This window comes from Homo sapiens, chromosome 20 (assembly GCF_000001405.40).
Source record: "Homo sapiens chromosome 20, GRCh38.p14 Primary Assembly".
Lineage (NCBI taxonomy): Eukaryota > Metazoa > Chordata > Mammalia > Primates > Hominidae > Homo > Homo sapiens.
This window is the reverse complement of record NC_000020.11, coordinates 9,387,266-9,399,635: the sequence shown is the minus strand read 5'-3', so window position 1 is coordinate 9,399,635 and position 12,370 is coordinate 9,387,266. Positions and strand designations below refer to the sequence as shown.

Genomic DNA, 12,370 nt, shown 5'->3' with positions numbered 1-12,370 from the left:
CAATTTTGATATTCTCCACTACTTGTCTCCTATCCTGGGAGCCACATGTCCTTCTGAATCTAAATCCAGCCTAATGCCTGGGCACCTGCTTTCACTGACTGAAAGCCTTTTCTATTTTCTACAGCCTCCAGGCAGGCCTCCCCTATTGAACTATGCTTGGTTTCCCCTTGCCTGCTGTGTTGATGTATTTAAATTAGAGACTCTAGCCACACATAGATAGTAGATTCATACAGTGGCACTAAGGTAATTATAGCCGACTAGTTGACCAGAACCAAAGCCAAGTATTACTGAGGCAACCTAAGAATCACACACATAACAGGTGAAACAGGAGCCTTGTGCCATCTAGGTGGATGATTCTGTCCTTAGGTACTTTCCTACGTGGATACTAAATCATGTGGTTATTTCTGTTAAGACTTAACCCAAATCTCAAGTATATTTTGGAATAACATGGGAGTCACTAGAGGCAAATATTTTTCTGCCTGGAGGAATAATTACCATATGGATGTAGATGGTGGGAAAGCACCTTTAAGAATAATACATGAAGCCATACAGATGCTAATTTCAGATGACTGTGTGTGTTTAGGAAACATCACATCTTTGACTTTCATTCGTTCTATTCTTTCTCCTTTTTAAAAAAGTATTTTTGCATATCTATGTTTTCACCATATTCCTGTGAATTGAAAGGGCAGTACTGTAACGTACAAAAGTCTTGACTTGAATCAGGTAGCTCTGGGATTGAATCTTAGTGCAATCGGTTGCCCGCTGTGGGATCATGTGCAAAATATGTTACCTCTCTAAGCTTCAGTCCTCTCATCTGAAAAATTGGTGTAATAATACCCATTTCAGAGGCAGAGCTTGCAGTGAGCCGAGATCGCGCCACTGCACTCCAGCCTGGGTGACAGAGCAAGACTCCATCTCAAAAATAATAATAATAATAATAATAATACCCATTTCATCAGGCTGTATACAGGTTAGATAAGGCCATAATGTAAGCTGCCTGGTCCACTGTTGGTACAACGATGGTAGTAATTATTATTAACATTGTTTTCTTGTTAATTTATTCCATTATTTCTGCAGTTTGTTTTACTGGATTATCGTATCAGTAATGCCTTACATATTTTAATTACCATCTATGAAATTTAACTTAAAGGAACTGGTTTTACTGAATAGTCATCTTTTTTGTATCTTAGGAGTATTTTCTTGACCATTTGAAACACAGTTCTATAAATATATTTTTCTTAAATCTTGTTTAGATTTATTATTTGCAAAAACATGTGAAAAAATATAGTAGGCATCACGGCTGACTATATTTTCCAAAGACAGCTGCCGTATCATCTGCCCTCCTCTGTGCTCTTATGCAACGTGACCTTGTCACTCACTCACCCTCTTGAACTTGGATGGGCCCTGAGACTGCTTCGATGAATAAAACATAGAGGAAGTGATACTGCACCAGTTCCAGGCCTAGCTCTTAACTAATTTAGCAGCTTCTGCTTCCTGCCTCTTGAGACACTGGCTCTTAGATGTTCCATCTGGGGGACTTAGCCATCGTGCTATGAGAAGCCCAAGTCACAGAGAGAGGCCACAGGGATACTATGGTCAGTGAGGCCCAGCGGAGCTCCCAGCGTTCAGCCAGCATCCACTGCCAGCATGTGAGTAAGCCGTCCGGGATAACCCACCCAAGGGAACCAGTCAGCCCCAGATGTCATCTGCTGACAAAAGCAGGAGAAACCCAAGGGAGAACCACCAACCTAAGCCCACATGACCCACAGAATTATGACAGAAAATGATAAGGTGTTGTTATAAGCCCCTAAATTTGGGGATGGTTTATTGCATAGTAACAGATGACCATAATAACGAGTATCAACTGAGTAGTATCAGATATCTTTAGCCTCTTAGACCCTCCCTGCCACATAAAACAAATGAAAGTACAGTCATTATGACTTTTCTCTGGGAGTAATGTCAAACCCAAGGACTGGACATGCAACTGAATCACTTATAAAGTCTGTTCCACAGTCAGGAGTCTTTATTAAGGAGTCTTGAATAAGGTTAGTTAATTCTTCCAACTTTTGGATTTTTAGCTCTATGTCTAGCTTTCCTAAAAGAGAATGTCCTCTGATGGATCTGGGCAAAGTAAACTGAAAAGCTTCTGATGTTCACCATTCTAGATGCTATTAAGAAAGAACATTCATGATTTATGGGAAGAGGTAAAAATATCAACGTTCATAGGAGTTTGGGAGACTCCCATGGATGACGCTGAGAGGTTCAAGACTTCAGTGGAGGAAGTCACTGCAGAGGTGGTAGAAAGAGTAAGAGAACTAGAATTTGAAAAGGAGCCTGAACATGGGGCTGAATTGCTGCAATTTCATGATAAAACTTAAACCGATGAGGAGTTGTTTCTTGTGAATGAGCAAAGAAGGTGGTTTCTTGAGATGGAATCTACTCCAGGTAAAGATACTGTGAGCATTGTTGAAATGACAACACAGGATTTAAAATATTACATAAACCTAGTTGAGAAGGCATCACAGCAGGGTTTGAGAGGATTGGCTTCAATTTTGAAAGAAGCTCTGCTCTGGGTAAAGTGTCATCAAATGGCACTGCATGCTACAGAGAAATCTTTTGTGAAAAGAAGGGTCAATTGATGCAGCAAACTTCATTGTTGTCTTATTTTAAAAAATTACCACAGCCAACCCAATCTTTGGCAACTGCCTCCCTGATCACTCAAGGCAAGACCCTCCACAAAAAGATTTCAATATGATGCAGGTTTAGATAATTGTCAGCATTTTTAAGCAATAGGTATTTTTTAATTAAGTTACATTTTTGGACATAATGCTGTTATTGAACACTTACTAGCCTACAGTACAGTGTAAATAATTTCTGTATGCATTGGGAAACAAAAATTCTTGTGAATAATTTTTTTGCAATATTTACTTCATTGTAGTGGTCTAGAACTGAATCTGCAATATTTCCAAGGTATGCCTGTATATAAATCCAAGGCATTGTATAACCAACACAAGTCCTTGTCATTTCGTTCATCAATTCTCATGAAACATAACAAACAAATAATTCTCTAAAATCATCCCCAAACTCTCAAATGACCCATTTACAACTGAACATTATGATTGTTGCTATGTGATCAAAGTAAAAGAGAAGGTAATAGCACATACTCAAATATTTTAAGCAAGACTGCCTTCTTAAAATTATCTAGCTACACAGAGATAATTCTGGTGAGCTGGTTATTTGAAGGAATTTGAACTTGAAATTTTAATACTGGCTTTTAGTTTCTAGTTCACTTTGTGGAGACAAACCAATCATTTGCCTGAGGGTCTCTTAAATTATTTGCCTCTCTACTCTCATCATTAACAGACTCAAGTTCATGTTTTTGTCTATACAAAGGGATTACAAAATGTGCCTTATATTGCTTCCTCTGCCTACTACAGCAAGTGCTTCAGGGATTCTCTGGCTAAGAATTTCTGCTGAATAGCTGAATGGCCAATAGGAAGGGAGATGACAAGGCCATTAAAATTTAGTAGCCAGAAAAAATGGGAAGTGTTTGGCAAAATACCAAGAATACCAAAATATTACTATGAGGAATTAAAACGGCATTATTATATAAAAGGGTCTTCTGAAAGAAATTCCTGGTTTTCTTACTCATTTATTTTTGAAACAAGGCCTCAGTCTGTTGTCCAGCCTGGAGTGCAGTGGTAGGATTACATATAGCTCACTGCAGCCTTGAACCTCTGGGCTCAAGGGATCCTACTGCCTCAGCCTCCCCAGTAGCTGGGACTACAGACACAGGCCACCACGTCTGGCTAATATTTTATTTTTTGTAGACATGGGGTCTCATCTCTACGAAAATGTTGCCCAGGCTGGTCTTGAACTCCTGGGCTCAAGCAATCCTCCCACCTTGGCCTCCCCAAGTGCTGGGATTATGGGCTTGAGCCACTGTGCCCAGCCTGGTTTTCTTATTTAAAAAGTATTTTCAAAGCATGTAACTTAAAATAAAAGCAAACAGCTCACCACTTTCGATCTCCTCTTCATTATCGTCCTCTAAGATGTTTGCTGGGGAGGCAGATTCTCCAGCTTCCATCATGCTTCTCAAAGCTTCCAGCTGTTCTGTTAGCAAAAACACGCAAAGAGATGGTGACAGATGCTAGGTAACATACAAACCCTAGGCCTTGAGATCGACACTGAGGAGGACGTGAAAAGAGAGAAGAAATAGAATGTTCAGGCACCAAGGCACCATGTTTCTAAGGTTCAGCAGTGATCTCTCTCTCGCCATTTCCTGGTGGTCTCGACCTTGTAAGAAACCTGCAACAACCACCTTATATACACATGATGAAGAATTGCGGGGACATGGGTGAAATGCCCAAAATTCTGGTCACCAAGTTTGAGAGGAGGTTCAGTCCTCGTGAAGGATTTAAGGCTAGATAACAAAAGCCCATAATTTGGAGAATCTGGCACAGACCAAGGTTTACGAACAGTTATGGGGAACTGATAGAAAATAGGCAGGTTGGCAACAAAACTTCAGGAAAAAATATTTGCAACTGATTTAATGGGGATTATATCCTACTATACAAAATAAGACTAAATAATTTTTCTATAAGTCAGAAAGATAAAGGTAAACAAAATAATAAAAATGGGAAAACACATAGGGACAAACCACAAATAGTAATATGCAAAAAAGGAGTTATTGAAGACACACAAATAAAAAAACCCCTAAGGTACCAATTTTTTTCTATGAGTTGGACACACATTTAAAAATGGCCAACAGCCAGCATTAAGGATATTGGTGGGAAACAGGCACTCTCATATATGACTGGTGAAGAGTCTAAGGTGGTAGAACTTTCCTAAAAGAAAGCATAACAAACTATATCACAATATAAAATATATATACGTTTTGGCTGAATAACTCTAATTGCACCAATTGATTTCAAGGAGAGGGTTGCACAAACATACAAAATAACATTCAAGCATGTTTATAGTAGTGAAAATCCATCAACTTGGGACTCGTTACATCATGCTATAATAAATGCATACAATTCTATGTCATATATATTAAATTCTATATAGTGTTTCATACATTAGGATTAAAGTTAGTATGTAGATGTATATCCTGCTGATGTAAGTATACTTACTTGGTTAAATTTTAAAAATTTAAACTCAGTATCATTAATATGATCTCAGTCATGTTAAAAATGTGGGTATATATCTACACATGTACATTACGTACATGTGTCTATAGTATATGAATACGTGTATAATATATGTTAGTGCTGTTACTTTCTTACACTTTTCATTGTCTTGATTTTTCTATGGCATTATTGCTTTTGTAATAAAATAAACTGTCATTAACATAATTTAAAATTTTTCATTTAGAATACTTGGGGGGAAAATGAAGTGTAATCATGCCAATATTTGATACCATTAATTCACTGAACTAGGATATACTCTGAAAGAAAATATTTTCAAGGAAATCATCCTGGGAGAATAAAAGGAAACATGTTTATATAAAATCATTTGTCTCTAGATCTCTCTATTCACATATACACAGTCACACACTCATATGTACCTAGTATCCCTAGATAGGTATAGAGCACGGGGCAAACTGAAAAGGGAAACTTATGAGGACTTTAGAGTGTATAAAATTATAAAATGCTGGTTCCTTATATCTTGAGAAATTCTAAAATGCTTCTACTTTCCTCTCAATTTTCCTTGGGCCCTCTCCAAATTCTGGCATTTGAATATATAGATATGCTTTTCCTACTGCATGAATTAATTGATATGGAAATTAAATTTAAATGGAAATGTGGCAATCTTGCTCTGAAAAGTACCTGTAACATCACCCCTACACCCTTCCCCCAAAAATCAGTGGTTTTAAAATAAATTGAATTCTCAACAGCTGAAATGTCCACACATGTTATGTATGCTTCCATTATAAATGTGTGTGTTTCACTTACTTTTTTCAACTTCAGGTTTCAGCCGCTTGTTTTTTATGAGTATTTTTCTTTTGAGGTCATTGGGGGATGGCAAAGCCCTGCCTGGTTCAAGCTAGAGAGAAACAGAAAGAGCTGAATTAAGGAAGGGCTGTGCTTCTCCATTCTCCTTCCCAGTCCAGGAGGAGCCTGGGAGGCCTGGGAGTGATGCAACCCAACACCCACTAGATGGCAGGCGGCACAGCCTTCTGTTTTCACTCCCCAACCCAAATTAGCACACCCATTGAGCTTTTCCTTAGACTAGTGCTGCAAACTTGAAATCCACATAGTTTCCAGAGGTGTGCAGAGCTGCTCCAACCTCCCCAGTGGAGCAGGGGTCTGGCCTGGGATGTGCCGGGGAGGGGTTCCTGCTCCCCAGAGGGCCTTGCACCTTTTAAGTATCTGGTAAAGTGCAAGGGACAATTGTGATGGCTGGGTTCAGAATTAGCTTTCCCAAGTGAGAGGCCCCCCAGATCCCCCCAAGTGTCAGGCTGTATAGTAAGCCTGTCTGCTGAGTAGGCTGACCCAACCCTCAACACTTGAGATTGTGGTTTTGTGGTTTTGTAGGTTTGATAAGGGAATCAAGAAGGGAGTTGTTCCAATTCCTGGAATCTGAACTTGACTACAGCATCATTTGCTTAGATTTATATCTGCAAAGGAGGTGCCCCTGTATGCTATCACCTCTGGTCTACAGAACCGTCCTGTATCTAGTCTTCCATTCCCCATTCCTCCACCCATCTCTCTATATGCCCACCCACCCACCCCTCCACCCATCCATTCATTTTCAAAACTTGCTTTTATACTACTTATTATATGTAAGGCACTGTGCACTCATATGTCTGTCTTGCCTCAAATAAAACCCTTTGTTGAAATGCTGTTTCCTTCCAGCAGCGTGGTATAACTGGCCCATTCCCCAGTGATCTCTCTTGTACCAGGACACCTCCAACAAATAAAGCACCATACGCCATCTTCTTTTCTAGTTATGTGTTCACATTTGTGTCCTGCTCCCACTCCCAAGGTTGAAAGCTCTTTAGCTTTTGGAGCAGGTCTTATTCCCATTTATATTACCCATGCTTCCCCAGACACCTGTCCTGTATTCAAAGGAGAATAGGGTCTTGAGGCAGGGAATATAAGGCCTATTCATGCTGACTTCCTAGAACTAAATCAAATGGAAACACTTCAGCTATGACAGGAAATATCCTCTCCATTTACAAAGGATGTACACCAAGTAAATGACTTTATAACTTTACTTCATCCTATTCATTTACATAGACCGGACACCAAGTAACCAATGGAAACCTCTAGAGGGTATTTAAACCCCAGAAAATTCTGTAACAGGGCTCTTGAGCCCCTCTGCTCAGGCTGCTCCCACCCTGTGGAGTGTACTTTCATTTTCAATAAATCTCTGCTTTTGTTGCTTCATTCTTCCCTTGCTTTGTTTGTGCATTTTGTCCGATTCTTTGTTCAAGATGCCAAGAACCTGGACACCCTTCAGCTGGTAAAAGTATGTGCACATCACTTCACTAAGAATACAGTGAACTTTCCACAAAAGCAATCACCTTAACCTAATCAGAAAGATAAATGGAGGGCCTAGGTAAAAACAAATAAAATAAATCAGAGCTGTTTCTTAGTTTGGGTTCCCTTAAAATCAGCCTCAGAGAAAAGTAGTATTGCACCAGGTCGTCTACTTGGAAGGAAACTCCAACAGAGGTGTGGGAAAGTGAGAAAAAGAAGACAGGCAGCTCATCAAGGGTGTGTTATCACTGCAGCCAGCTGGAGCACGATCCTGCTGGGAAACCCTGGAAGGCAGAGAAGAGCAGGTGCTCAGGGTTATCCCACCTCGGGAGGGATGAAGCATGGGATAGGGGTGATAATTCCCTGGCACTGCTGGTCTTTCATGTGTGGCAGAGCAGGCTCCAGTGACCAGAGCTCACTCTCAGGCAAAAAGCTGTGGATGTTGGCAGTGGAAAGTCAGGCCAGTGTTCAGGGAAACAGGAGGCACTGCAAGGATATGGGCAGGTCACCTGCAGCAACTGCTTCTGCAAGTTCGAGGGAAGAAGGAAGGGGGACAAAGGATACAGATATCCTTGTCTCTCATATTTTTTTTCAGTTCCCATAGACACACTTCTGAAAAGAACCTCATAAAGTGTTTACATGTAGCACAAAGCACCTTCCTGCTGTCATTTGCTGTGATGTTCTTCTGCCACTACCTCATGCTACCAGGTTTGAGCCCATCAGGTGCTGCTGTCAATAGCAGGTCTTTCCACTTTGATTTCATTAGCTGCCTTGGAGCTCATAACATCTTGTGATTGTGGATCTTAATCTCTTGGAGGTCATGGATCCTTATAAAAATGTGATTAACTCTCTAGAATGAGTATATACAAAAAAATTGCATGCAATTAGAATGAATTCACAGATCTCATAAAGCCTATCTATGGAGCACAGGTTAATGTTCTTTGCTTTATGAAGAAATTAGCAGGTTTAACATGAAGTTCAAAAATGTATGTGCAACATTACTCAGTGATTTATTTTGGAGTTAGGAACATGAACTTCAGGATGTCGTGACATCAATCCAGGGCACTTTCCACAGCATGAGCCTCCCATGGGTTCTGAATACCGGGTGCATATACAGTTCACCTGGAGGGCTTTTAAAACACCATGCTCAGGGCTGACCCTGCATCAATTAAATCAGTCTCCAAGTGGGGCCCTGGCACAGGTGTTTTTAACAGTTTTGTAGGTGATTCTAACATGTAACTGAATTTGAGAACAACTGACCTGAATCTGGACTCTTGGCCTGGGTGCTTTATGAAACTTTAAGACTGAGATCTGAAAACCATAAGACCCAAAGATCCTCCAAATGAAATTGAACCAGATGTTTATTTTGTGTCTCTTTACATCCCTCTGAAGCATGATGTAAGCTTTCCGTACCAAAGAATTTAAATAAATATGAAGATCTTTAGCATTAGTCCTCTAGTACTACTTGACCCTTCAGAAATTTTCAAAACAAATCCATTCATGCTAGAAATATGGTTTGTTAAAAATACATACTGGATGTGATTCAAGTGCTTGTTTCAACAGGAGATCCCCAAATAGATCTTCGCAATATTTGGACATCTTGTACTGTTGATATTTGCTGGAGAGAAAAAAGTGGCATTTGTAAATTCAAACACCCATTAACCGTCCAAGAATAAGAAACACCCATTACTAGGCAATTAAAGATTCTCACTTGGCAAAATGCATTATTGTCCTCTTAATGCTAATGTGAGATGTATCAAAAACTTTAACTGGTATAATTTTAAAAGAAGGAGAAGGAGATTCTGTTCCAAAACTAAGAGCTGGAAAGAAGAATAAAAAATGTCTTTCAAGTTCATCAAATCTGATTTCAAATATACTGTCAAATCTTCCAGCTCAATGGAACTTTAAGTAAGGTGTCCCAATCTCTGAACTTTTATTTGGAACAAGTATTTCTGAAACACATTAAAATGATTTGGTTTGGGGGGACAAGGGTGGTTTTTTGTCGTTTTTTCCTTTTTTTGTTGTTTTTTGCTTTGCATAAGAGTAGGTGCCCTTGCTGGAGAATTATTTGAACTTAGTACTTCACAAAACAAACTATTCAGCTATTTAAAAAGTTGTAGAGCAGGAGTGGGCATTAGGGGTTAGGAAACAATACCACATAGAGACTTGTGGCAGAATGGATCATTATACCTGCAGTGATTTTCAAAGGAGAGAATTACAGGATATTCTGATGTGACAAATGCAGTTTCCTTGATGGCTTGAATTACATCCTTTAAAAACAAAAAAAAACGTTAATGAGAGAAAAGAGCAAAAAAATTAAGGCACCCAAAACTATTCAGAGACTATTAATTGAGTCTTTCAGAAAGTCAATTCCAGCAATTCAGACCTGGAGCCCCCATCTACCTTGACACCTCTAAAGGTTGAGTTCCCTGTGGTTATAGCCAGGGTGCAGTTAATGGTTAATGACAATTTTTTAAGCTATCTTTTACTTCTCCAGAATTATGGTGCTATTAACTTACAAGAGATTTCACCTAAATGGCATGCCAGTCTGTGGCTTGTTAATCTGCCAGGCCAGGAGTTCAGAGTCCACCTTTCTTCTTGAGGAGCAGGTGATCTCTGGCACAGAGGTTTTCACTCCCGACCACTGTATGACTCCTCCCCACCTCATGCAGAAAAGTGTGGGTAGTAACCTCAGGACTGCTGGAGGCTTTCACTGACTTTCCTCTGTGTTTGGAAATCAGTCTTGGGCTATACTTCATTAACTTGATGTAGACCTCTGTGTACTAAAGTGACATTTGCAGTATCCCTTGTTTCCTATTAGCCTGGTTACAAGGCCGGGGGAAGGGGTTCTCGTTGGTCAAGCAACATGTAAGTGAAACATAGAAGTGTTCTTGACCCCCCATCTGTAACACAGAACTTAATTACAGAAAACAACATTTGAAGGAGCTAAACATAATCTTCCCTTTCACTATTCTCCATGAAATAGGAGAGGCTTTAAGAGATGGTTGGCCCCGTCTCTGCTTAGCTTTAGAAAGAAAGGCTTCAAACCAGCACTTCTACAACCGGAGCATCATATTTGGTAAAAATCCCCAAATTCTTACTGGTTTGTAGCTAATCACAGGGCAAATCTCATCATTCAGTTAATCAGAAAAATATTTCACAATAGTTATCTAGGCAAATCCATTTGACATGATAAAGCCCAAGGTTAGATAATCTTGAAATATTTTATTGAGGCATTCCTTGTGGCTGAGGTAGTCATTTAGTTATTCTTCCTGGCTATGCAAATTCATGGCTTCCCACTTGAATATACTCTTGGTACATATCAAGAAGTATTATCTTGAATTCATTGCTGGTCAAAACTCTCCAATATCTTGGCTAAGAGAAATACTATGCATAGCATCTAGACATCTGCGTGTGTGTGTATGTGTGTTTTTTTTGAGACAGAGTCTCGCTCTGTTGCTGAGGCTGGAGAGCAATGGCATGATCTGGTTTCACTGCAACCTCTGCCTCCTGTGTTCAAGCAATTCTCCTGACTCTGCCTCAGCTGGGATTACAGGTGCATGCCACCACACCAGCTAATTTTTGTATTTTTAGTACAGACAGGGTTTCACCATGTTGGCCAGGCTGATCTTGAACTCCTGACGTCAAGTGATCCACCTGCCTCCACCTCCCAAAGTGTTGGGATTATAGGCATGAGCCACCACGCCCAGCAGCACCTATGTTTTTGAAAATACCCATGGTGATGTTTCACATGTAGGTGGAGTTGAGAACCGCTGCTCCTGGTGTTGTAATATCTATCCTGAGTTATACCAAACCGACAGACAGCTGCAGCTGACATTTGCAAACCACAGAATTTCATTCTTTTGATTTGTCTAACCTCATTATCTTATTATTTACTTATTTATTTATTGAGATGGAGTTTCACTCTTGTTGTCCAGGCTAGAATGCAACAGTGTAATCTCGGCTCACTGCAACCTCCACCTCTCGGGTTCAAGCCATTCTCCTGCCTCAGCCTCCTGAGTAGCTGAGATTACAGGCATGTGCCACCATGCCCAGCTAATTTTGCATTTTTGGTAGAGACAGGGTTTCCCCATGTTGGTCAGGCTGGTCTCCAACTCCTGATCTCAGGTGATCTCCCTGCCTCGGCTTCCCAAAGTGCTGGGATTACAGGCGTGAGCCACCACGCCCGGCCTTTCTTATTCTTGTAGGCCCTATTTACAATCTATTTTATTCCTGTATTCTATTTATCTTTTTATGCCACCTTGAAGTCCTTTAGGAATAATGTAAAGTAAATAAGCAAATAAGTAGATAACAAAAGGAGACACTGTTTCTAAGGTAAGTAAAACTAGGTAAACTCTGCCAGAGAAACCTTGTTATGTAACACAGTCACCATTTGAAAGCAAGAACAGTATCATGAAGGGGACGTTCAGTGGAAAAGATCTTTGTCTTGACTTTTTCCTCAAGACTGGAAGAAGGGAATATGAAGGCATAATGCTTGAGAAAATGAATCATTTGTTTTCTCTTCTCCATCTCCCTATTTCCTGCATTTTCACAGAGTTTGGAAAAGTCTGTGTAATTATTTTTAAAGTTACCTTAAAAAGGATATCTGTACACATTGCTTTTCCATGAGTTATTATTGGTTCTTGGTCTTCACCTTTTCCATCCCAGCAGTCAAGTTCAACACATCTAGGGATATAGTGAAGTTACAATATTGAAACTTTACAATGAAATAGTGTTCATACAAATTAAAAGAAAGACATCAAAATAAGTTGTTTTCTTCCAGAACAGAAAATTGAATAAATTAAGTAACCTGATTATTTCATGGCATATACAGGTTAAAACCACATTATATTCCTCATCTGGTTGGTATTATCAAAAGGGGA

General features: G+C 39.8%; 1 protein-coding gene across 19 annotated transcripts in view; it reads right to left on the bottom strand.

Moving 5' to 3' along the window:
- PLCB4 (phospholipase C beta 4) overlaps positions 1–12,370 on the bottom strand; it is a 412,131-nt gene that overhangs the window by 81,173 nt on the left and 318,588 nt on the right. For all 19 annotated transcript variants that reach the window (XM_024451898.2, NM_001377134.2, XM_005260724.3 and 16 more), the window contains 5 exons: positions 12,080–12,173; positions 9,678–9,757; positions 9,021–9,105; positions 5,958–6,048; positions 4,018–4,113 (listed from right to left, as the gene is read on the bottom strand). In XM_024451898.2, the coding sequence (XP_024307666.1) occupies positions 4,018–4,113; positions 5,958–6,048; positions 9,021–9,105; positions 9,678–9,757; positions 12,080–12,173 (446 nt within the window). The remainder of the gene's footprint in view (positions 1–4,017; positions 4,114–5,957; positions 6,049–9,020; positions 9,106–9,677; positions 9,758–12,079; positions 12,174–12,370) is intronic.